We start from the raw sequence: 26388 nt of genomic DNA on the forward strand, positions 1-26388 counted from the left end.
AGTTCATTAATCTTTACTGTAATTAAGTAACTTGCCCAGCTACTAGCTATAAAAGACAGAGCAGAGGTGTGAACCCAGGTAGACTGACTCTAAAACACTATACTACATGCTATATTCAAGGCACGGCAGCAACAATCAAATGCCAAAATACAATCTGGGCTCAGCTCTTGGCCATTCCCTCTCCGAAGAATGTGTCTCATTGAAGAAAGGGCATTATAGGCTTTATCTTTCTTCCAAAGACGACGAAATACTCCACTTGAATTTCTGCCCATAGAACCAGAAGATTTTTTTTCTCTTGACAAGAAGCACCTTCCTGGATTAAGGGTAAAGAAAAGGCCATTGTTCTCCTGAGACCTCACTCTGGACTGGTGCCAGATGGAGGGAAAAATAGATGAGCATGTAGGTGTGCTCAATTCAAGAGAGTTCTATTCCGAAGCCTTTTCAAGCCTATGGAAACACGGAGGTCACAAAAAGGGGAAAAAGCTCCTGGGATTGCTTTTTTTCCCATGTTATGCCCAGAAATATCCAATGATGGGCAACACAAACGGACACCTTGTCGTTAGTATTAGGATCTTTGGGAAAGTTGAGGTACAAACTATTCATGTGGCACATGGTGTGTGTGTCAAGGGACAGGGCTGTGGGAGGCAGGCTGGGAAGAATTCCAGCTGCACTCCAGGATTTGTTTTTAATGCTTATGACTTTAGATCACTCAGTTCCACAGACTTGATTTTTCCCAAATCCCCTCTCTGGCAACGCTAATGTGTTTTTCCTCTAGTTCTGACTGATCAGCGAAATACGTGGCTGGAAGAATAGGCTGGGAAATCATTTCTTTGATGCTAGCAGAATTGAGAAAATATTCCCCCAGCTACAGACCTCTCCATCTATTCATCCCTGCCACCTGCCAGTCAGCTGCAGGTAGAGGCAGCTAGGAAGGTAAGGTGGCAGGGAGGGCAGGATGTGAAGGAGGGGAAAAGGGAAAAGAACTGAGAGCATGAAAACAAGGAAAAGAAAAAAAAAAAAGAGTATTGTGTTCAAACGGCCACTTTAGAACCAAGACTTTCATTGATATGCATCAGCAGTGTCAGATGAAGCCAGCAAATAGGTGAAAAATGCTCAGCCTTCCTTAGAACTTTTCTTCTGCTCTTCACCCCACAAAGTACATCCCTTAACTTCAAAACTAAGATGGACTCCTGTAAATGAAACACTTTATCTGGGTGCCTCCATTACTGCCAGCTTTGTAAAAGAGCCCTCTCCTTTGAAATCTACTGTTCTATACCTAACTCCAAAGTATCCTCAGCTAGATACTTTGATCAAATACTGGAAGCTAAAATGCTAACCATCTTTAGGGAACAATTCCTCCAGCCTCTACATCTACAATTTAACCCAGTGGGAATCTAAAGCCAGCTAACAGCCCTCAAATCACACTGCACACAGGGCTGCTTACTCTGCTGTGTTTAGGGACATAAGAATTAATCCCTAAGATCCAACTTAGAAACCCAAACAGGGCAGCTTGATAATTCTGTGTCTGCTTGAATAATTTCCCCCTCTCAGTGTCAAAGGCCTTCAAAATTCACATTATTTTGTTCCCATGTAGACGTCAAATAAAACTGCTTTCAGATCATGACCCCGCAGATTCCATCTTCAGAAGAAAGGAAATCTGGGAAAAGCAATGAGATCTGAAGCCCCTTTACCAATGGACCATGGGCTCCAAAAGAGACCAAGAGAAAACATAACTACTCCCTTATGGGGTATCTTGAGGACTTAATATACACAAAGCACCTAGCACAAGGGGATGTTAAAAAAAAAAAAAAAAAAAGCAGTTTTCTTCCTTTCCCCATCCAACTGCTAGACTGGAATTCCTGGGTCCTATTTCCCCTCTGTCTTTTTTTTTTTTTTTTGGTAAACCCCTTCCATTCTAGGATCCTCTCAGTCATTTCTTGGTCATGAGATACTAGACAACCTCCTCATCCTCTAAGAGCCTGAATGACTTGGCCAGGCACGGAGGCTCACGTCTATAATCTCAGCACTTTGGGAGGACAAGGCTGGCAGATCACGAGGTCAGGAGTTCAAGACTAGCCTGGCCAGCATGGTGAAACCCCGTCTCTACTAAAAATGCAAAAATTAGCCAGGCATGGTGGCACGCGCCTGTAGTCCTAGCTACTCAGGAGGCTGAGGCAGGAGAATTGCTTGAACCCGGCAGATGGAGGTTGCAGTGAGCCGAGATCACGCCATTGCACTCCAGCCTGGGTGACAGAGCAAGACTCTGTCTCGAAAAAAAAAAAAAAGAAGAGCCTGAATGACTTGACCAAACTGGGAGATGATGGAATAGAGATTAAAAAGATGATGTTTATATAACATTTAGAGGGCTACTGGGGTGGGGAGCAGGGGTCGTTTCTTTTTTCCCCTAAGGAAAAAGAACTTTACAAATATACCATATTACTATTCCTTAAAAACTCACCCCTGCCCAGATAAACTCATTATGGCCATAGGTAATCAAATCTGAAGACTTTTAATCCAAAGAAATGGTTCTCTTCTTCCAAACAGCTGCATTACACAAACCATAAACAGACTGTTCTGGGAATTAAATAAATTAAACTAAAACTCAATCTTTGTTTGCCCAAATCCACATATTATGGGAAATAAGGAAAAACCAACAACTTATGAGTTTATGAATAATAACAAAACAAAACCCCCACATGAACAGAAATATAATCAGCTTGATTAGCACCCAGGCAACAAAAGGCTCACAGAGCCCCTGCACACAAGGCTGTGCTTCATGTGGGCTCTTGACAGGCTGCCAAAAGATCAGTGGCTAGTGGGGTGCCACCCCCACCCTGCCCTGTGCACTGCCAGGGCCTCAAAGAGTTCCCTTGATGTTCCCTGTCTTCAGAAGAGGGAAGGTTGGAGCAGGTTCAGAGGAGCTTCCAAAAAGCTCTCCAGAGCTTGCCAGAAACCTGGCTTCACAAAGCCCCATGGGCCAGATGGACAAAAGTCTCCCTTACCATACCCAGAGACAACCCAAGAGTCCCCAGAATGATCTGCCTATCATTCCTCAGACTCCAGCCATCTCACTGTCCACCTATGTATGCACTGCCCAGGGCTCAGATTACTCAAGGAAGTCAACAAACCTCACCCACCACAGTGTCAGGTTGTCAGATGTTAACTGGACTTTTCCTAATACTGGGTGATGCTCAGTTCTGACCTCTTGGTTGTCCAAGCACCTTCCCCACAGTAGTTCTTCCCAACCTTCCATTTCTCAAGCACCCAAATGGGTACTTCTCTTTCATTGCTCAAAGCAGAAGACCACCCTCAGCTTGGCTCAGAAAACTGAAGACATCTAATAGGAGCTTCTTCAATTTCTGTCTATATCCCTACCACCTTTCTGTGTCCCTTTCTAGCCTCTGCTTCTAATTTCTCAGTCTCATCACATTTATGAAGCCAAGACTGTCCATCTGCTACCTAAATAACTTTGCCCCATCAATGATCTCCTCTATGGGATTATAAATCTGTCAACACTGATTCCTTTCCCCTCTGCCTTCCAACATACAGAAAACCTCTCTCCATCCAGCTCCAATGACCCCACCTCAGGGAAGCCTTTCCTTCAGTGTCCTCTGCATTCTCACTGAGCCACCTTCCTGTAGGGGGTCCTCCATCACTATAAGCCCAAGTGAGCAACCTCTGTCATGCCCACCATGGTATCCCTGGCATCAAGCACTATACTTCCAGGAGTTCAACAAATGGAATATGAAATGAACAAGTTTTTTGATATGGCTATCGCTAACTGAAATTGCCCTTTCAGTTCTCCTCTTCTACTATCAAACTCCTCAAACCCAGGAGTTTACATCATCTTTCTTCATCTCCTCATCTCCCAGCACAGCTCCTGGTTGGATTCTATGACAGACTAATCTGTTACACTTAAGTTTCACACCTCTCCCCTCTCCCCACTCCCCACGGTCTCCCTCTCCCTCTCTTTCCACGGTCTCCCTCTGATGCCGAGCCAAAGCTGGACTGTACTGCTGCCATCTCGGCTCACTGCAACCTCCCTGCCTGATTCTCCTGCCTCAGCCTGCCGAGCGCCTGCGATTGCAGGTGCGCGCCGCCACGCCTGACTGGTTTTCGTATTTTTTTGCTGGAGACGGGGTTTCGCTGTGTTGGCCGGGCTGGTCTCCAGCTCCTAACCGCGAGTGATCCGCCAGCCTCGGCCTCCCGAGGTGCCGGGATTGCAGACGGAGTCTAGTTCACTCAGTGCTCAATGTTGCCCAGGCTGGAGTGCAGTGGCGTGATCTCAGCTAGCTACAACCTCCACCTCCCAGCAGCCTGCCTTGGCCTCCCAAAGTGCCGAGATTGCAGCCTCTGCCCGGCCGCCACCCCGTCCGAGAAGTGAGGAGCGTCTCTGCCTGGCCGCCCATCATCTGGGATGTGAGGAGCCCCTCTGCCCGGCTGCCCAGTCTGGGAAGTGAGGAGCGCCTCTTCCCGGCTGCCATCCCGTCTAGGAAGTGAGGAGCGTCTCTGCCCGGCTGCCCATCGTCTGAGATGTAGGGAGCGCCTCTGCCCCGCCACCCAGTCTGGGATGTGAGGAGCGCCTCTGCCCGGCCGCGACCCCGTCTGGGAGGTGAGGAGCGCCTCTGCCCGGCCGCCCCGTCTGAGAAGTGAGGAGCCCCTCCGCCCGGCAGCCGCCCCGTCTGGGAAGTGAGGAGTGTCTCCGCCCGGCAGCCAACCCCTCCGGGAGGGAGGTGGGGGCCAGCCCCCGCCCGGCCAGCCGCCCCATCCGGGAGGGAGGTGGCGGGCGCCTCCGCCCGGCCGCCGCCCCGTGCGGGAGGTGGGGGGCGCCTCTGCCCGGCCGCCCCTTCTGGGAAGTGAGGAGCCCCTCTGCCCGGCCACCACCCCGTCTGGGAGGTGCACCCAACAGCTCATTGAGAACGGGCCATGATGACAATGGCAGTTTTGTGGAACAGAAAAGGGGGAAATGTGGGGAAAAGATAGAGAAATCAGATTGTTGCTGTGTCTGTGTAGAAAGAAGTAGACATAGGAGACTCCATTTTGTTCTGTACTAAGAAAGATTCTTCTGCCTTGGGATGCTGTTCATCTATGACCTTGCCCCCAACCCTGTGCTCTCTGAAACATGTGCTGTGTCCACTCAGGGTTAAATGGATTAAGGGTGGTGCAAGATGTGCTTTGTTAAACAGATGCTTGAAGGCAGCATGCTCGTTAAGAGTCATCACCACTCCCTAATCTCAAGTACCCAGGGACACAAACACTGCGGAAGGCCGCAGGGTCCTCTGCCTAGGAAAACCAGAAACCTTTGTTCACTTGTTTATCTGCTGACCTTCCCTCCACTATTGTCCTATGACCCTGCCAAATCCCCCTCTGCGAGAAACACCCAAGAATGATCAATAAAAAATAAAATAAAAAATAAATAAATAAATAAATTTAAAAAAAAAAGTTTCACACCTTTAAATCTACTGGCTTGTCAGTTCTCCTCCTGATCTCCTCCCTCTCCCTCACTGGCCCCCACCTCTGACAGAGTGGATGCTGCCCACCCCCACCACCTCATTTTTCCCTTACACACACCTGCCACTCCAGACAAGCAGATATACTCTCACTTCAGGTCTCTGTTCATATTATCCCCACCAACACCACTACTCATACTTTGTTCTCTTCTCTATCTAGTGAAGTACTGTCTCTAAGTTATAGATCAATTCCTACCTCCAAGGCTCTGACAAAACTAAGAATGCAACAGGTTCTGGGAAAGGGCCTCTCATTCAAGCTCTAGGCCAGCCCTTGAGAACTACTCCTAGCCCTGGTTAGTCTTAACCGTGGAGATGCCCTGGGCTGTCTTGGCCAGTGGGGTGAGGCCAATATTAGAAAAGGAAGCAAAGTCAGAGCTACAAAGGTTCTCTGAACTAAAACAAAGTCTGTGGCATGAGGGCTGGGACTATTTTGGCAGCTAGTTTTCCATCATCCCTACTTGGTCTAAGTTTTCCATCTCAGACATTTGGGTGTCCCAACCTTTGAGAGTTGAGGCTATGCCACTCTGCTCAGCACTCCTGATTAAACCTCAGAGAGAACAGGTGGATAGAAGCAGAGGAAGGGGAGGATAAGGGCTTCAGGGTGCATGTTAAGCATACAAATGCTTGTTAGAAAGAGGATGGCCAACAGCTGCTCTCCATCACCACCCAAATGCACAGATTGCAAACTGGACCCTGGCCTGTCCCATCCGGGTAATGAAGGCCAAAGCCAGGGCAGACATGCTTTGGTGTCAGAGCAGAACTCAGCCAGCCGGCTGCAAAGTGGCCTCAGTCTTGGCAGTGGCTGCCATGGAGGTTGCAGTCCTTCCTGGCCTGGCCTCCACCTGCTCTCCCAGGGGGCTGTGGGATTTAGCTGCTGAGGGGCAGTGATCAGCCATCCTGAGAGGCTAGTGAAGAGACCTCCCTACATGAGAAATGAGGTCTCTCTGCAATGAAGAGATCTAAATGATCCTCATGGAGCCTCCTGGGGCCTTCCTGTATTCCAGCCCACCATCTTTTTTTCTCTCCCAGTACAGGATAATTTGAAGCCTCAGAAACTGCTCCTATAGGCCTCAAGAGACCTGGCATCCTTCCATCCCCCAAGTGGTTCTCCCTAACAAGCTTGTATTACCAAGGAGCAAAGGAGATGCTCAGAGTCGAGAATGCTTAGCAAAGGCTGGGAAGGTGGAAGTTATAGAGGGAGGGACCAGAAGTATAGGTAGAAGAGGAACAAATGAAGTTCTAAGGAAATCCCCAGAAGACTAGAAAGCCCTCAAAGTAAGAAGGGTGGCACTGTGCAGAAAGAAGTAGCACCAAAAGTAAGCTCTGTTGAATACTTCATCCTGAAAAGTTGCCAGAGATAGCAACTTATGTCCAAGAAGACAGACCACCCCAACAGAATCAGGCTGTTTCTTCTATTTAGCCCCTGCCCCACATTTCCAGCACTGTGCTTGAGCCAGGGTGAAACATCATCCAACAAAGACCCCTGGCTATCCCCCTCCCTTAAGTCATTACTTCCTTAACAGCAGCTAAGAAGTCCCACTGTCACACTTTGATGAGCCGCAGGGGCTTAGGCATGAAGTGTCCTGAACCAACAACCTTGCTCCCACCCAATTTCTTGGGCCTCACATGTGTGTGCATGTCTATGTATAAAGGATGGGACAGAAGAGATTATACTCTTGGGGACCATGGGGAATGAGAAGACCCGTAAGGAAGATCCTTCCAGGATCAGGGAGGGAGGGAGGGTCACCTGCCTCCCAACCACAGACCTGGGGAGGGGGCAGAACACACTGGGAGCTTTGCCCCCCTTAGTCTCACTTTTATTGCAACTGTGGTATAATAAAAAATATGTGTAGTCTTTGACCCTGGTTCCTGGCTCATTGTTTCTAAAACTCTTGGAATTTTTTGAGCCATAAGAGTGTACTTTGTTATTCCTACCAAACCCCTTTCAACTATGGGGCTTTTATACTGATTAGGTGACTCTTGGTTGGAGGTTCTAAATAGCTTCAGGATGGAGGCTGGTTGCCAGAAAGACCAACCCAGGATTAGAGGGCTGGAACTTTCAGCCCCAGCCCCACTCTGACCTCAGGGGAGGGAAGGAGGACTGGAGATTGAGCTAAATTATCAATGGCCAATGCTTTAATCAATTATGCCTACATAATAAAACCTCCATAAAAGCCCTGAAACAACAGGATTCAGAGAGCTTCCTGAACTCCACTTGAGCATGAGGGTTGGCGGACACACTGAAGTGCTAGAAGGCTCTGCACACCACTCCCTACCCCCACTCCAATATCTTGCCGCATCTAAACTCTTCCGTTTGGCTGTCACTGAGTTGCATTTTCATAACAAACCAATAAACATAAAGTGTTTTCCTGAGAGCCATTCTAGCAAATTATTAATGTCAAACCTGAGAAGGAGATTGTGAGAATCCCCAACTTATACCTGGTCAGTCAGAAATACAGGTGGCCCAGGACTTGCAACTGCCATATGAAATGGAAGCAGTCTTATGGACTTAGCCCTTTAACTTGAGGGATCTGAGACTAATTCCACATAGACATTGGCAGATTTGAATTGAATTGTTGCACACCCACTTGGTGTCAGAGGAGTGGAGAACCACGCCGCCCCTCCAAAGCTGCAAAGAGCCAGAGGCCCAACAGAAACAGTGTCACAGAGTCACCCAGACCAGAGTCAGGTGCTCCTTCAGACAGATGTCCAGGGCCTGCAGGAAATCAGACTCCTCTCTTAAATACTTGAAACCAGAGTAGTTGGTCTACTATAAATGAGGTTTTTAAAATTCAATTCCCTCTTATTGCTCGTGCAGATCTGAAATGATCTGACCAGATGGCTGGTGCTCTATAATTCTTGGATTGCTCTCATCAGTTGTTGATGATTTGGAATTTTTTTCTTTTTCTTTTTTTTCCCCCTCACATGAACGTGTTCCTGCACAGGCTTCCTGCGTGCTCACATTGAGTGGGCTCTTTGTGCTAATGCCAATATTTCAGAGACTCTCACAGCCGCCTGGAGTCAGATCAGGTCAATAAGGAGCCCCAGGTCTGCTCCTGGCTGGCTACGCTTCCCTGAGCCCACATGGGGCCAACATGCAGCACTGGGTAATGAGCAGAACAAGGGGCCCTCTGCCAGGGCTGCCTCCTTACCTCCACTTCCCCTTCAGGTCCCCAAGGAAAGGGAGGTAGCAAAGGTGTATATACATAGATATATATTTTTAAAAAGACTATGTTGCCAAGGCTGGAGTGCAGTAGCTATTCACAGACACCAAGTTACCAATGATGCAAACTCCTAGGCTCAAGCAATCCTCCCACCTCAGCCTCCTGAGTAGCTGGGACTACATTCGCACGCCACTGTGCCCAGAACAAAGGTATATATTTTTAAATGACAACTATAGCCACTTATTGAATATGGCCTATGTGCCAGGCCCTGTGTTGAACATTTTACATATGTTAACCTTGTTTCATTCTTACATCATCTCTGCGAAGTAGGTATTATATTTTCATCCCTATCATCAGATGAGGAAACTAAGGTTCTGAGATTCTAAGCAACCTGAGCAAGGCCACACAGCTCAAAGAGAGAGCTGCAGATGGAGTTGGAGATTCAGCATCATAAAATTTGATGAACTGCCCCACACAGATCTCAGGGTTAAAGAGAAAAGGCCCTGGCCTTGCCATACCATCTTTATGCCCTCACTGAGCACAAAATACTTCCACCAAGACATCCAAAACACTTTGGTGGCTGTTTTTGTCTTTGTTCTCTGTATCCTTTGTAAGATTATGAGCTGGATAGAGGGCAGGGGTCACGTCCTTTTTGCTACACAAGAAGATAGTATGGCACAGTGGTTAGGAGCTGGGGCTTAGAGCCAGACAAATCTAGGTTTGAGTCCCAACTCTACCACTTTTTGGTTGTTTGGCTGAGTCCTTCCTTCTGAGACTCAGTTGTATCTGTAAAAATGAGGATAGTTATAGCACCTGCCCTCAAAGGATGCCTGGCAGAGTCAGTGCTCAGTAAATGTGAGCTGTTACCTATATCTCTGGCTATAGATGATGCCCAGGGTGCAGGAGCCCATTGAAGTGGCTGTGACCAGCATTCTGTAATACCAACTGCACAGGTCCAAAGTCCTAGTGTTCAGCCTCAGGTCCTCAGCCTCAGGACAAATTCCTGAGTTCCCTGCCCAGAACCCCCAGGACCTGCCAGCAAACAGCTTTCCTCTGCTTGCTTGTGAACAGCTAATGCTGTATCCACCCTCAAATGCTTGCTGTGCCTCCGTAAGGTGAGGCAGATCCCAAAATAAACCAGAAGAAAGAGACAGGAAAATCACTTCTAGGAACAAGCAGCTCCCAGTGAGGATGCTGACAGTAATAACAGGGGCAGATAGACTTCAGGAGATTCACCTGCAGCTGTTCCAGGACTGAGTGACTGGGGCCCAATTCCTACCTGGACTGCAGGGAAGGCCCACGAAGTCATGAGTTTGTCCCCTGGTGTTCCAGGCAGCAGGCAGTCTGGAAATCTGCCTTCAAATGAGCACAGCCAAAACAGCCCACGAAACCTAGTTCCCCTCTTGGGAGCCTAAGGACAACACAGCTGTGGTCCTCCCTTAAGAGCCCTGAGGGGACAGAAGGTACTGAACTGGGGACAATAACTGTCCATATAAACTTGCAATTTTCTTAAAGTCCACCGTCTTCCTGTGCCATGCCACTGACTCTCAGACAGGAAACACTCTGCTAACCCCTTTTGCTCGTGCTTACCCTTGCTCCTTGATCAAAGTCTCTGTTGAGGGAGAGAGGACATTTCATGAACATGCAAGTCTCTTCTTCACATCGTAAGTTCCCTTTCCCATGTAAAGCCATAGGGACAGAAGCCTACATGCTCATGTACCCTCACCGGCATCCAGTGATTCCACAATGGGATTGAAGGGATGGCCAAGTGGAGAATTTACCACTGAAAATCAGAACAGCTGTGTACTGAGTGATTTCTCCATGTTAGGAAGTAGGCAGAGGGCTTTGCATCTACCATCTCACTCCATACAACAGCCTCCGCAGCAGGCAGGGCAGGACACTTCCCCCATGCCACCCCATGCAAAACCAAGGAACAGAAATATTCTGTGACTTGCCCAAGATCCCCTAAGTATCAAGGCTAGGGTTTGAACCCCAAACTGGCTGAATCTAGTCTGTCCTCTTTACCACTAAATTATACCACCTCCCCATTTACCTACCCATCCAGTTCCCAGGACTGGCTACATTCCTTTTAATCTTTAGGTAGATGTGTTGGGAAGCTCCCAGGCAGAATTCAGAATGTGGTAAATTAAGTACCATAATCTGGTTGAAGGCAAGTGCCAGCTATCCACACACACCCTTGAGAGGTCAGTTTCCTAACAGTATACATAGAAAACATGTCAATTCTTTACTGGGGCCTCCACTGGTCTGACACCATGACACCAGATTCTGAATCACCCCACATCAGATACTGAGGCCAGAACAAGCCTCCCACCTAACCTCCCCTCACCAGTCCTGCTTTTGAGATGTAGTGTAGGCAAAAAATGCTCCTGGGATGGGGCAGGCATGACCGGAACCAGAGTTGCTTTGCCCTCTGAGCTACAGGGCCTCTGCGTCTGGGTGCAACTGCAACACACCAGCCTTTGGGACAACTCCAAGGGAATTTTGTGCAGAAGAGTTTACCAGGGACTCTTGAGAAACTCCAAGGCAGAGGGTGATGCCAATGAAACATCAAGTTAACTGTAAAAATCAGTGCTCTACTCCAATTCTCCAGGAGTCTCTCAGAGTCCACAGTCCACTCTTGTCACACAGGCTCTGGCTGTCCCTCCCCAAGGATACAGAGAGGGGCTCTTTTTAGCCATTAATAGCAGCCCCACTGCCCAGAGGGTTGGGCAAGGGGCCAGGGTCAGAACCATCAACATCGTTCAGTCTGCAACATGAACCAGGATGCTACTGGATGAAGGGAGCTACTGACTCAACCACAGAAACAGATAGAGTAGGAGTCGAGGCCACAGGACACTGACTTCCATCTGCTCCAGGAACTTGCCTGGTTAAAAGTGGTACAAGAAAGCCAGGTGCGGTGGCTCACGTCTGTAATCCTAGGACTTTGGCAGGCTGAGGCAGGTGGATTGCTCGAGCCCAGGAGTTCGAGATTAGCCTGGGCAACAGGGCAAAACCTAGTCTCTACAAAAAATACAAAAATTAGCTGGGTGTGGTGGCTTGCACCTATAGTCCCAGCTACTCTGGAGGCTGAGATGGGAGGATTACTTGAGCCCAGGAGGCAGAGGTTGCAGTGAGCCAAGATCGCAACATGGCACTCCAGCCTGGGTGACAGAGCAAGACCCTGTCTCAAAAAAGTGAAAGTGATACAAGCAACACTATATACATAAAATCAGCGGATATAGTCCGTATCTTCCACGCCCTACCCCTGACAGCCTCTGGTTTTAGTCCTTAAGGACCAGTGGGACTAAGTTCTCAAGTGAAGCCAGGTTGGCAAGGGGTGGGTGGTGGCAGGCAGAGGTTGGATCTGCTGAACCCAGTACCTCTATTCCTAAAAGTTCCCTCTGCTCAATGCCATTAGCTCCCACCTGGCTTCCTCGGTGCTTCATCACTCTTCTGTGGCAGCAACTACCCATGTGCAAACACAGCAGGAGCAATATTGCTACCAGAAAGCTGGCTGGCACAGCAAATGCTGCCCTGCCAGCACAGCAGCAGTGGGGGCAGTGAGGACATGGTGATGAATATCAGCAAGAAGCTGGTGAAACTACACTGTGGCAGCTGCTGGGGCTTGCCATCCACCTTGCCACTCCTGAGAACAGTCCCAAGTGTCAGAGTAGTAGGCTCCAGCCAAGGACAGCTAGGACTGGGAAGAAGTGGGAAGAGAGTAGGCCCAGGCTCTGGGGTCAATGGCATAGGGCAAGTTAGCTGGATGACATAGGACAAGTTGCTTAACCTCACTGAGCCTCAGTGCTTTCATCTGAACATAAGGATAATAATAGTTCCTATTATTGTGAAAATTCAACAAGATTATGCATACGAAGCACCTAGTACAGTACCTGAATATGGTGAAGACTCTGCAATTGTTGACTATTCTCATTATTTTAAGCCTTGGGCCCAGGCTCATGAAAGGGTTAGAAAATTGTTCCTTCTGAGGATGCACTATTTAAAAACCAGGCCAGGACCAGCCTGTTTCTTGGCACAGGTTCCTTTAACAACAGAATACTCCTGCCCCACACCAGTGCTCAGGACTCTCCCAAGAACAATATTTCAGCAGCACTGAGCCGAGCAGCAGAGCCCAAAATAGCATTTGCAGAGCAAGGCACATGTCACTGCCTCTCTGGTGCTTCAGAAGTGCAGGGAAAGAAAGTTTTCAATCACTTGCTCAGAAACCACGGCCACCCACCACCTGCCTTCCTTCCAGGGCACTAAGATGCTGCAATCTCTGTTCTGCTGGAAAACGAAGGTCCCTGAGCCCTGCAGCAGCAGCTACCACTCTGACGGACCATGCTGTTTCCCTCCCGCAGGCCAGAGAAGAGCAGCCTGAAGGAGCAGCCCTCTGGGGACAAAGGACATATGCAGTTTGAATTCAAAGTGTGTTTTGTGGGGACAGGGCTGGGCCTGATACCTGGCTGAAGGGCCTGCCACTCATGCGTCGGGTGGAACACCTCCAGGACTTCGGCATCCAGCTCCTCCTCGGCTTTGGTTTCTTTTCTCTCTGTTTCTTTGGTGCTGCTCTTCTCTGGGTTGGTCAGGGCAAACTCCTTCTGAGAAAAGAAAACACAGGGCATGACCCACTGCAACTAGGCGCCAGGTAAGCAGAAAAAAAATGGCCTAGGGTGGCACGTTCTTTTCCTCCATGCCCCTCTCCCCCACAGCCTGATATGTCTGGACACTCGCAATTCCTTTCCCAAGGTCAGCCTCAGAACCAGCACATGTGAGGTGATATGGCTAAATGAATGCAGCATGTTGTCCTGTGCGTATGTGGTACTTTTGAAAATGCACAGGGAATGACTCTAGAAGATCCCATGTATCTTGAGCAGGTTAAGGGAACACATTAGGGACAGGGGCTGGCAAAACGAAACAATAAGAGCCTTTTACTTTTTGACATGCTATTATACTGTTTGATGTTTAAAACTCGCACATATTATTTTTACAATAAAAATAAACATATTTAGAAAAGAAAAAAACACATACATGAATGGGAGAGTAAGGCCTCAAATGGCCACTACAGATGTACAAAAGCTGGCAGCTAAGGCCCAACTGATTCCCAAGCAGCCCAGCAGGGCACAATTCCCCAGTGTGCCTATGAGCCATTGCAAACCATGGAGGAAGCGTGCAAGTGGGAAGGAGAGAATCCAGCTGGGCTGAGGGAGGAAGATGCTCAGGTTGGAAACCACTTCCTAAAACCTGTTGCCTTCCACCCTGTGTAGAACATAGAGGATTAATGAGATGGTGTCTCTGGAGCATTCTCAGCTCAGGAGACAGCGATGCAAGATAAATACAAAGTATTATTCATTTTGCTCTTTCCTGGACTCTCATCCTTCCTATCCCATTTTTAAACCCGTTCTTGCAAAAAAAGTAATAAGGCCTCAGGAAATTCGAACCAGAGGGTTCCGGAGCTCTGGGAAATTACATTTGGGAAAACAAGGAGGAACCCACATTAGCACATGGGGAGGTATTTCAGCCTGCCCACCTCCCCTGTCATCGCTTTTTCTCTGCTTCCCAATCCCTCCCCTAGTAATAAAAAGTATATTTCTTGGAATCTTCCTATGAGCCCAGACCCGTGCTGGGTACTTTACATAGATCTCATTTTGGTCTCCCAACAATTCTAACCACAACTGGGAGATGTTATATGCATACATCTGTAAAGTTATTTAACTTTCAACTAACACCTCATTCTCAGCCAGGCATGGTGGCTCACACCTATAATCCCAGCACTTTGAGAGGCCAAGGCAGGTGGATTGCTTGAACCCAAGAGTTCAAGACCAGCCTGGGCAACACCACAAAACCCCACCTCTACAAAAAATACAAAAAAATTAGCCAGGTGTGGTGGTGTATGTCTGTAGTCCCAGCTACTTGGGCGGCTGAGGCAACAGGATCGTTAGAGCCCAGGAGGCAGAGGCTGCAGTGACCTGAGATGGCACCACCACACTTCAGCCTGTGTGACAGAGCAAGACCCTGTCTCAAAAAAAAAAAAAAGTGCCTGGCTCCAGATAAGGACTCCCTCCTGCCTGGGTCCCTCAATGTCTGATCTTTAGTTGTCGAGGAAAAGTTAAAATGTTAAGGTGCTGGTGATGCCAATGTAGAGCCCCTCCAAGAATTTTTACATTTTAACAAGAAATAAAGGCATGAAATTTAGATGGCAGAATTTCAGGCCTTACTAAGGACCAATAAGGAAAATATCTTGGCAAGAAGAAGCTCTCAAATCTAACCACACCTGGGAGATGTAATATGCATAGTTATGAGAGGCACTGACTCCAGCATAGTGCTTAAGATGCTGGAATAACTCAAATCCCAGTTTCTTGTGTCTCGGGAAAGTTATTTAACCTCCTAAGCTTCAGTTTCCACATTTTCAACATGAAAATAATAACAACATCTAGCTCATAGTTAGATGAGGTACTACATTGTAAACCACTGGCTTTGGGTACATGGTGGCTGCTACTATTACTTATGAAGGCAGTCATAGATTCCAGGCTGTGTTGTGACATCCAGGAGTGACTATACAATATGGCATCATTCAAGCAGGTCACCTGCGCAGCCTGGTGCCTCAAACCCCTCCTATCCCTTCAACTTAAAGTTTGCACAAATCTGAGCTCAAAAGAAAACTAGGAATAGAAGAATAGGTGTGCTTATGAGACTACAGAGAAGACTGACTGGCAGGAGGCATCCTCCATTCTGAGGACATGGACATCAAGAACTTCCAACAGCTGAGTTTCCAGAGGGCAGGCACCATGTCAGTCTCCTTCATCACCCCCATGCCTAGCACAGGGCTTAGTTTGAAGCTGCTGAAAAAACAGATGAATGAATGCCCCTTCCCATAGGCAGGTGTGTCTTCTGGGTGCCTTAGACTGAGGAAAGCCCAAAGCACCTGAGTCTGCTCCAGGTACTTGCCTCACATTCCAGAACAAAGACCACCCTGTCTGCTAAGTACCCAGAGCCTACATACACTAGGATCAGCCCTGGTCAGAAGCATTAGACTGCAGGACCAGGAGAAAGTTAATAAAATTTACCTTGGAGGTGTGTCAATGAAATGCCCCAGGGGCCAGGCAGGGATGCAGGGAAATCAGTGGACCAGGTGTAAACAATAGGGAGTGGTGGGACTGCAGAAACTGGAGCCCTCTTGCCTTGACTAAGGGAAGCAGCTGCTACTCCGCTGGTCTACCACTGTCACGCAGGCATTCAACTTGAAAACAGAAATCCAGATTTTTATGTGAAATGTTCTTATTTTTAGAACACTAAGAAGGCCAAACTAAAATATCTAAGCATCAATTTGCAACCTTCTTTTTTTCTTTTAATTTTTAGTAGAGACAAGGTCTCCCTGTGTTTCCCAGGCTGGTCTTGAACTCCTGGACTTAAGCAATCCTCCCTCCTCTGCCTCCCAAAGTGCTGGGATTACAGGCATGAGCCACCACACCCAGCCTCAATCCTTGTTTCAGTTTACCTATTAGCCGGGTAATTTCTGGCAGGCTGTAAGCAAGCAGCAAAATTCTCATCAAGAGAAGCAGAAAGGGGTAAGGGAGATGGTGATAAGAAGGTAGCACAGGAAATCCTCCAAAATCCAGGTAGGCTGATGTTCATTTTAACTACTAAGGGTTCGGAAAGCCTCTTTTTCTAGATTTCATTAACAAGATTAATAGAGTGGATTCAAGAAGGAGGGTTAGAACGAGACTGATGAACCACCGAGCTACATGCTTCAAGTCCTAAGGAGGCCAGACTCTTTTGCAACAATCCTGTCACTGTTCAAAATGTTTTTTGCACCTCCTTTTGGTATCATCTTTGAATCAGATTTTAAGACACAAACACAAAACCTGTACATTTAAAAGTATATTTTAAAGTACACCTCAGTTTTTAGTGGAGATTGACACAAAATTGGTTCTCCCCTATCTATGCTTACCCTGTTTACGAGCCCTGGCTATAAAAGTCTTTAGATGCTTTGCCCAAAACACACCTAGCTATCCTCAAAGGCCAAGGGCTCAGAAGCCTTGAGAGAGGTTCAATGATATGAACAAACCACAGGCTGGACAGTGAGTTCAAAAGCAGAGTTCCAGAAAAGGTTTTGAGAAAAAGCAGCATCAAGAGGATGAGGTTGTAATGATAACAGCAGCTACCATTTATTAAGCCCTGATCATATGTCAGGCACTGGGGCAAGGTGCCTTCCATTCCTCAATTCATCCAAGTGTCATCTGTGAAGCACATCATATTAGTCCCATAGGAGGACAGATATGGGGCTTTTCAAAATCACACTGCTCAGAAAAGCAGAGCAGAGATTGAAGTCCAGACCTGCCTGGCTCCAAAGCCCATACACAAGTTTTGACTCACTGCTATGATTCTTTCTTGGTCAGATGTCCTAATAAGTTGTGCCCTGAGAGCTGAGGGAATGACGCGGGATACTGAGATCACCTTAGCATATCTACCAGCACATGCCCTTCCTCGGCAAAGACTTCCATGGGCCAGGTAAGAAACCATAGTCCCAGTAAAAGAACAAGCACAACTAGCCTCACTCTGCCTAGGCAGTGTCCTGAACAGGAGAGAGAGAGAGGCAGGCCAGCCCTTGGTCAGCTGTGAAGTAAACCCCGTGCTCTGGTGCCTTCCCAGCTGGCTTCTCAGGGCTGCCTTCCACGCTGGATCATCAGTGCTCTCTTCTCCCTATCACCATCATTCCAAATACCAATTTCCTCTCAAGTGACTGGCAAGAAATCCTAGCTAAGGTGTTAGCTGACAACAGCTTACCATGTCACACTTCCTTGCGCTTGTATCCGAATAAGAGATTCTTAAAAACCAAAGCCTTCAAGATCCAAGAGAATAAATGAATCTCTAATGGTGGGTTGACAGACACTGTAACAGAGACAGACTGCCAGGGCAACGTTTTGGGACAGAAGCCTGCTTGACACAGCCCAAATTAAACCATAGAAGCAGCATCCCCATACTAAAAAACAACAGCTGACATTCATTAACCATTTATTGGCCATATTGTGCCAGTTTCAATGCCAGGTGCTTTATATATAATCATATTTAATCTACACTAAAACCTTAAGAGGGAGGTACCAACCCTGTTTTACAGATTAGGAAACAAAGCTCAGAAAGGGTCAAATTGCCAAAGTGGGAGGCAAAAGGGATCTTACGAAGGGCCTGTGCGCCTTCCACAAGGCTCCACTACTGTACCCGCCTCATTGTTTACCACCTTTTTCAAGGCCAGTAACACACAACCACAGCCCTTCAGCATCTACACGCCTCCTGAGATGTGGCATCCCGGGGAAGTACCACAGCAGGAGCCAGGAAGGAAAGCTGGCTCCAGATCATACTGTGATACACACAGCCGGCCTTTCCTGGGTGGGCATTAACCTGCCCCAATGCCTTTGGGGAGGACAATTCTAGGTCATCAGGAGCACTTACCTGGACTCCAGGCTCTGAAGAAAGGATCATAACCACCTCCACCCCATTTTCACTGTTGTGAAGGTGGCTGGCTGCATAATTTAGATTTTAAATGACATCAGGGCAGCAATTTTTATGGTATGAGAGAAAAGATGCTTCAACTCCTACTTGTGCTTAGCACATGATGAAAGATTATGACAAATGGATACAGCTTAGGAACAGACATAAGGATAAAAGCAGCTTCTGTTGATGAAAGTCAGTATTAACATTTTTCTGAGACTAGACTCAATAGAGCTAATATAAATGGGCCAGAATAATTATGCTCTGAAAGCTCATCTATTTGGTTGGACTATTATCCAAAAGGGACTTCCTAACTCGGTCCTTAAGTAAATTCATCAGCATGCCTTTGTTAATTGTGCATCTGCTAAAGCTCACGATGGGGAGCATGGCATCCTCATGAGGTACAAGTTGGGGAGGGGACACAGCCCTGGGCCCTGAAGGTTCTTTTCTGGGCCATTCCACCGCCAACCCATGCCAGAGACAGCCCCAACCTCACGCTGTAGCCAGTCCCATTCTCAGGGGCCCCTGGGATCCCATTCTTACTGTCCTTGAAGAAGAGGCAAATAAACAGCACCAACAGGATCTCAGAGGGCATTAAAAACTCAAAAGGACTCGTGACTCCTAACTGTATGTTTTCCCCTGCTCCACGAAGTGGGGGGAAAGGCAGAGAGGAAACAAATGATTTCAGAGAGAAGGTGGAAGCTTGCCATGAGCCAGAGGTGAACCACAGCTAAGCTGGATTGTTATTAAATTCATCACAATTGTCATTTGCACTTCAAGGACCTCCCGCTCCAGAGCTTCCAGCGCTTTATCCAACATTTAGTGGGAGCCCTGGGGGTTGGGGAAGGTGGCCAGGGGAGGGTGAAACTGTCAAATAACTGACAGTGGGAGCTTATCAAGGGAGAGGAGAGGGAGGGCATTAGGAGCTGGTCAAGGGCAGGCTGTTGCTGGGACAAGCCAAGTAAACAGGGCCAGGAACCGTAGTGTGCTGCAGCCAGGCCAAGCTCAGGGCCTTTCTGGGCATTCTCCTCCTGCCAGTGGCAATGGCAGAAGCCCTGAGCAGTAAGCTCTAGGTTAATGAAGTGTGGCCCAGAAAGAACAGGGAGCTACAGACAAAAGGAAGGAGGATACAGAGATGGAGATGAACTGAGAAAGTACAAGGGAGAGAGGAGTAGAGGAAGAAAAAGAGTCTTACTTGGAACTGATGCCCACCACACAGGCACTCAGCTTTTGGGAAGAATCCTGACATTCACAGCTCTCACAAACTGGCTGTGTGATTTTGGCCAAGTTACTTAATGTCTCTGAGTCTTAGTCTTCTCCTCAAAAGGAGAATAAAAACTGTAGCTGCCTACTTCATAGTGTTGTTGGGAGGATTAAATGAGAATACATATAAAGCACTCACTACAAGGTTTGGTAAATGGAAGATTATAATTATGAATTTATCATCATCATCATATTTTCCCCAAAGGGAAACTGTGTCATAAGCTTTAAACAGAGGCCAGAAGACACAGGGATGGGGAGGAAGAAGTCTACCTACTCCATGATCCACTGCCAGCCACACTCACATAAGAAAGAAACATAGAAGCCCACACCCTACTCCCACAACAGCCCTGGTGACAGGGAGGCCTTCTCAAGACCTCATCAAGGGTCCCTCCCATTTACAATAAAGATATTTACCAGGTTCTGATGACTGAGGCAGAAGGTGAAGCAGGCGGCCATCAGCAGCCCAAGCAGCATGCCCAGAGGAGCCATCCTAGATGAAGGCAGGCTCTGGGGAGCCATAGTCAGGGACCTGCAGGTGCAAGCATAGACAACAGAAGGTCAATGAAAAGCTAATGCTTGGTTCCCCCGCACTGTGATTCCCATGTCGTCACTTGCTCACATGTCAGACATTTCCTGCATAGAGGTATAACGAGTCTTCTACCACTTCTAGATAATTCTGAAGCCTCCATCTACCATGGTGGGTCCAGCCATCCAACAAGAGATATGCCCTGGGTAGAACCATACAGTCGATCAGGACTCCTGCATAAGCTATTACAGCCCTAGTCCCTTCCTTCTTCATTAGAACTTGTTATCAGGTTGTGGCGGGTGGTCTTGACTATAAGGAGAGAGGGAAACTAACCAACTGATCTGCATGTGAACAAACATGGGCACAAATCCACATAAGCCTTTATAACCACCCACTTCTAAAACACACCCATTATCCTACCTGAAGACAGATGGCATCAATATCCTCTAAGACAGCAAAGTTCGATATTCCCAAGTCACAAAACCTCTCACATCAGCTTTCAAACAGTCAAACAAATAAAAGTACAAGCCCCAGTAGCTATTAAAAGGACAGGCAAAGGTGGGAGGATCACTTGAGGCCAGAAGTTCACGACCAGCCTGAACAACACAGTGAGACCCTGTCTCCACAAAAAATTAAAAAAACAAAAAAATTAGCTAGGCATGGTGGTGTGAGCCTGTAGTCCCAACTATGTGGAAGGCTGAGGCAGGAAGACCACTTAAGCCCCAGAGGATGAGGCTGTAGTGATCCATGACTGCACTACTACAGTCCAGCCTGGGTGACAGAATGAGACCCCATCCCTCCAAAAAAAAAAAAAAAATTAAAAGAATATAAGGATGGAAGGACATCCCATGTTCATGAATTAGAGACTTCATACTGTTAACAACAGTACTACCCAAAGCAACATACAGATTCAGAGCAATCTCTGTTAAAATCCCAATGGAGAAACTCATCCCTAAAACTCATATGACATTTCGGGGGACCCAGAATAGCCAAAACAATCTTAAAAATGAAGAAAGGGTCGGGTCTGGTGGCTCACACCTATAGTTCCAGCACTTTGCAAGGCCAATGGGTGGAGTGCCTGAGCTCAGGAGTTCAAGACCAGCCTGGTCAACATGGCACAACCCCATCTCTACCAAAAATACAAAAATTTGCTGGGTGTGGTGGCACATGCCTGTAGTCCCAGCTACCTAGGAGGCTGAGGTGGGAGGATCGCGTAAGCCTGGGAGGCAAAGGTTGCGGTGAGCTGAGATCGCACCACTGCACTACAACCTGGGCAACAGAGTGAGTACCCATCTAAGAAAGTAAAAGAAGAAAGTTAGAGGACTCACTCTTCCTGATTTCAAAACTTACTACAAAGCTACAGTAATCAAAGGGTGATACTGGCATAAGGATGGACAGACAGACCAATGGAATAAAATTGAGAGTCCAGAAATAATCTCATATATGGCCAATTTTTGACAATGGTACCAAGACCATTCAATGAGAAAGGACAGTCTCTTTAACAAATGGTACTGGGACAACTGGATATCCACAAGTGTAAGAGTGAAGTTGGGGCCAGGTGTGGTGGCTCACGCCTGTAATCCCAGCCAAGGCGGGCAGATCACAAGGTCAGGAGATCAAGATCATCCTGGCTAACACAGTGAAACCCCATCTCTACTAAAAACACAAAAAATTAGCTGAGCATGGTGGCGGGTGCCTGTAGTCCCAGCTACTCAGGAGACTGAAGCCGGAGTATGGCGTGCACCCAGGAGGCAGAGCTTGCAGTGAGCCGAGATCACGCCACTGCATTCCAGCCTGGGCAACAGAGCGAGACTCCGTCTCAAAAATAATAATAAGAGTACAGTTGGACCCTTACCTTATATCATTTATAAAAACTAACTAGAAATGAATCAAAGACCTACATTTAAGAGCTAAAAGCATAAAACTTAGAAGGAAACATAGATGTAATCTTAACGACCTTGGATTTAGCACTGGTTTCTTAAATATGACACCAAAAGCATAGGCAACAAAAGAAAAATAGATATATTGGACTTCATCAAAATTAAAAAGCTTTTGGGTCTCAAAGGATATTATCAAATAGTGAAAAGACAGAATGGGAGAAAATATTTGTAAATCACATCTCTGTTATGGGTATATTGTCCAGAATGTGTTGAGAATTCCTAAATCTCAACAATAAAAAGACAAGTATCCCAATTTAAAAATGGGCAAAGGCAGGAGTTCAAGAACAGCCTGAGCAACATGGCTAGACCTCTTCTCTAAAAAAACAAATTAAAAATTTTTTAAATTAGCCAGGTGTGGTGGTGTGCACCTACAGTCCCAGCTACTTAGGAGGCTCGGGTGAGAAGATCTCTTGAGCCCAGGAGTTTGAGACCTCAGTGAGCTATGATAATGCCACTGTGCTCCGGCCTGGGCAACAGAGTGAGATTCTGCCACTAAAAAAAATAAAAAAAATTAAAATGGGCAAAGGACTTGAATAAACATTTCTCCAAAGAAGATATACAAATGGCCAATAGGGACACGAAAAGGTTCTCAACATCATTAACCATGAGGGAAATGCAAATCAAAACCACAATGATACACCACTTCACACCCACAATGATGGCTGTAATTTTTTTTTTAAGTAAAATAACAAGTGTTGGTGAAGATGTGGATTAACTGGAACCCTCGTACATTGCTGGTGTAGATATAAAACAGTGCAGCCACTTGGGAATAGCTTGGTGGCTCCTCAGAAAGCTAAATATAGAATTAACATATGTCCCGGCAATTCCACTCCTAGGCATATCCCCCAAAGAATTGAAAACAGGGACTCAAACAGATATATGTACATCAATGTTCATTGCAGCATTATTCACGATACCCAAAAGGTGGAAACAATCCAAGTGCCATCAAAAGATGGATTTTCAAAATGTGGTATATACATACAATGGAATATTATTCAGCCATAAAAGGAATGAAATTCTGATACATGCTGCAACATGGAAGCTTGAAAACATTATCCCAAGTGAAATAAGTCAGACACAAAAGCTCAGATATTGTATGATTCTAATTATATGAAATATTTAGAACAGACAAATTCATTTAGATAGAAAGTAGAAAAGCAGTTACCGGGTTAAGGAAAAGGGGAAATGGAGAGTTACTCCTTAATAGGTAAAGAGTTTCTATTTGGAATAGTGAAAATATTCTAGTAAACTAGGATAGACGTCAAGAAAACTTAATCCAAATTAGCAAATGATCTAGGAAAGAAAAACAAAATAAAACAAGCAAAACAAACAAGAAAACCTTATGAAAATTCAGGATGTGTCAGTATTAGCCCAGACCCTTATAAGAGGTTTTAATATTTATCCCTCAGCCCCAGTATACCTCATTAGGCAGTTTACTCAATTGAGGCTTAAGTGAGTTAATTACAGGGCAGCACCTCTGAAGAATGCGGTGTTTACTTTTTCTCTATCCCACTCCTGCCACATTCCTCCCTGCTTCACCTTAACAAATTGGACCTGTGGCATGATTGCAGTGGGACCCAAAGCGTGCCTGAACCCACTCTCAGAAGTCATTACCCCTCTGCCCTGCCCACATCTTCTCAGGGGTCGGAAGAAACTTTCCCTAAGGACATCTGCAGCCATGAAGGAAAACAGCCCTGCTGGACCGCCACTGTGCAAAAAAGCACAGCCAAATGGAAAAGCAAAGGCTCGGGTACTAAAAATAGCTGCTACACTCACCCAGCAGCAAAAGCCTTAGCTTTCTGCCAGCTCCCCCCCTCTTTTTTTGCCGACAAAATGGAACGGCTGAGTGCCACGAGAGCTTCCCCCAGCAACCTGGCTCCCTGGGGCACCAATCACACTGAAAGACAGGGATTGAGTTCACAGCACCACACCAGGCTCTGGATAGGTGACTGGCCATCCCTGGGTGTGAGCAGGAGAGGGGCCAGGCTGGGTGAGGATGAACAAGGGCAAGGCGTCACCACAACAGGAGGGAGAAGGCTAGGGAGGCCTAGGGAGATGGTTCCTGAGAGGGCACAACCCTAGAGCTGCCTATACTGCTCTATACTTCTGTTAACGCTGCAGCCTTGGCTGTGGGGAGAAAAAGAATAAAGAATAGAAGTGGGGGACTCACAGCATTATCAGGACAACATACAACAAAACAAAGATTAACCCAAAGCCACAGATATCCCTCCCCTTCCATGAGATACTCATGTGTATACACACACACACACAGACACACACATACAGACACACAGTTATGAGCTTCCTTCTTACAGCTAGGGATCAACAACGAAACTGGTGCTGGGGAAAAAGAAGAGGAGGAAGAGCTAAATGAGAAGGAAATAGTCAAGGGCAAAGAAGACAAATGAGCAGAAGGGGGAGGCCCAGAAGGGACTGAGGAAGAAGAGGTCAGGGGCAGCTGATGCACACACAGCAGCTTCCCCCACTCCTTGGAGTGGGAAGAGGAGTGGAGGGTGAGAGAAATGGTAGCTCCCACAGGGCTCCCAGCCATCTCTGTCTCCTGCACACACGCTAACACTGTCAGAAACATTTTCTGCCAATACTAAGGATGAGAGGTGGATTCACAAGTGGATCCTTCATCTTCCCTCAATAATTCCACATGGACTGCACAGCTGACCCAGTTATTGCCTCTATATATTTTTCCACAAAACAGGGAGAGAGAATGAGAGAGAGAAAGAGAGGACAAGAACATGGAGCTGAGGTGGGCAGTGGGAGAGGGATGGGGAGATTGAGAGGACTGAGGAGAGACCTAGGTGAGGCTGGGAGAAAGGTGTGAGATAGTTTCTCAGGCTTCACAGGGGCATCCAGAGAGCAAGAGCAAGTACAAACTACAGCATGCAGGCACGGAAAACAGTGTTCTCCGTCCTTTTAAGGCCTGGCCTGCAGCCACGTCACCTGGTCTTGGTCCTTACTCAAGAAGTGGCAGGCATAGTTTGCCCTGGGCTTTATGCTAAAGCTGAGGGAGAAGGGAAAGGGGGAAAGGGAAGTGGCACACAGCTATGCTTTGCCAGGATGGCCCACCATCACAAGCAGGGACAGAGGCAGCAGCAGTGGCAAAAGCCAGCTGCGGTCCCTGGCATAAGTAAAGCCAAAGTCATGGCATCCCATTGAGGCACAGTTTGGCACACCTGGCCTGATGATAGTGCCATTCCCAAACCACTTGCCACCCATAAACTCTGGGTTCACCTGATCAATGGCCCCTGCATACCCTGCAAAAAAAAAAAAATCCTTCTCATCATCCTTGGCTTTCAATGGAGGACAGACCTACATCTTTACATTTATGGCCCTCTTCTGACATAAAATACCATCACTCTGTCCAGGAAAGGGGAAACTATTTCAGTGTCTCACCGGTAACTCTTTCCTTAAGTATCCTTGGGCTTTGGGACAGAAGAGACAATAAGGTACTTGAGATGCCCATTTTTCTATCAAAAGTGTCCATTTGTAGGCTGTACCTCTGCTTAAATAGAGGTTGGATGCACTCACCAATCTGTATTGCCAGCTTACTGCAGCCCAGAGCAGATGTTTGGGGAGCAGGTGGGAGGAGGCCACTCGGCCCCCACCTCTCTCAGTGCCTCATGTCTTCCACACAATTCAGACAAGACTGGGGGTGGGGATTGGGCCCTGTGTAAACAAGACGTCTCTTCTTAATGTCTTTTCTCCAGAATGGAAAACAAAAGAATGGGATGAGGATGGCAAGAAGCCAATAAAGGGAGAGGGAGCAGTATTGCTGGGTCTCTGGCAGCTTCTGACACACCTGGCAGGACCCATGGGCAGTAGCTGAGTTTCAGGACCAGAGCACAGAAAGAACTGGAAAAGGTTCTAAGTGTCCTGGACAAGCAAAGCCAACTCAGTAGCCTGCCATGGAGCCCTTGGAATTCCATCTTATAAAATGCTCATGTTATTAACCTACACTGTATGTTCATGTATTTGTTTTCCTGAATCTCCTGGGAAAAGTGAAAGGGCAAGAATTCCTACTTCCATTTTATAAGGAAGAAACTGAAGCAAAGAGACAAAAGAAACAAAAACACTGGGTAGTATAACACATGGACTTGAAGTCAGACAGACCTAAGGCCAATTCTTGGCTCTGCCACTTCCTAGCTATGTGATCTTGGACACAACTTCACTAGGCCTCAGTTTCTTCACCTATAAAATAGGTACATTAAGAATTTCTACTTCAAAGGTTGGTAGCGAGGATTAAATAAAGCAATGAATAGGAAGTACTGGGTACAGCACCTAGCATCTAATCATCACTCCATTTTTTTATTAGTTGTTTTGTTTGTTTTCTGAGACAGGGCCTCACTCTGTCACCCAGGCTGGAGTGCAATGACACAATCTCAGCTCACTGCAACCTCTGCTTCCCAAGCTCAAGCAATCCTCCCATCTCAGCCTCCTGAGTAGCTGGGACTACTACCGAGTAGCAGATATGGTGTGCCACC

At 47.0% G+C, this 26388-nt stretch overlaps 1 protein-coding gene across 5 annotated transcripts in view; it reads right to left on the minus strand.

Annotated features, from left to right (window-relative positions):
• The window catches only part of SIL1 (SIL1 nucleotide exchange factor), a 251645-nt gene that overhangs the window by 161175 nt on the left and 64082 nt on the right, over positions 1-26388 (minus strand). For 2 of the 5 annotated variants that reach the window (NM_022464.5, NM_001037633.2), the window contains 2 exons: positions 19841-19955; positions 13137-13275 (listed from right to left, as the gene is read on the minus strand). In NM_022464.5, coding sequence (NP_071909.1) covers positions 13137-13275; positions 19841-19945 — 244 coding nt within the window. In that variant the 5' untranslated portion in view covers positions 19946-19955. Of the gene's footprint in view, positions 1-13136; positions 13276-19840; positions 19956-20045; positions 20155-25435; positions 25574-26388 lie in introns of all 5 variants that reach the window. The other 3 variants (XM_047417496.1, XM_011543570.3, XM_047417498.1) reach the window with 3 other exon arrangements.

Source organism: Homo sapiens, chromosome 5 (assembly GCF_000001405.40).
Source record: "Homo sapiens chromosome 5, GRCh38.p14 Primary Assembly".
Taxonomy (NCBI): Eukaryota; Metazoa; Chordata; class Mammalia; order Primates; family Hominidae; genus Homo; species Homo sapiens.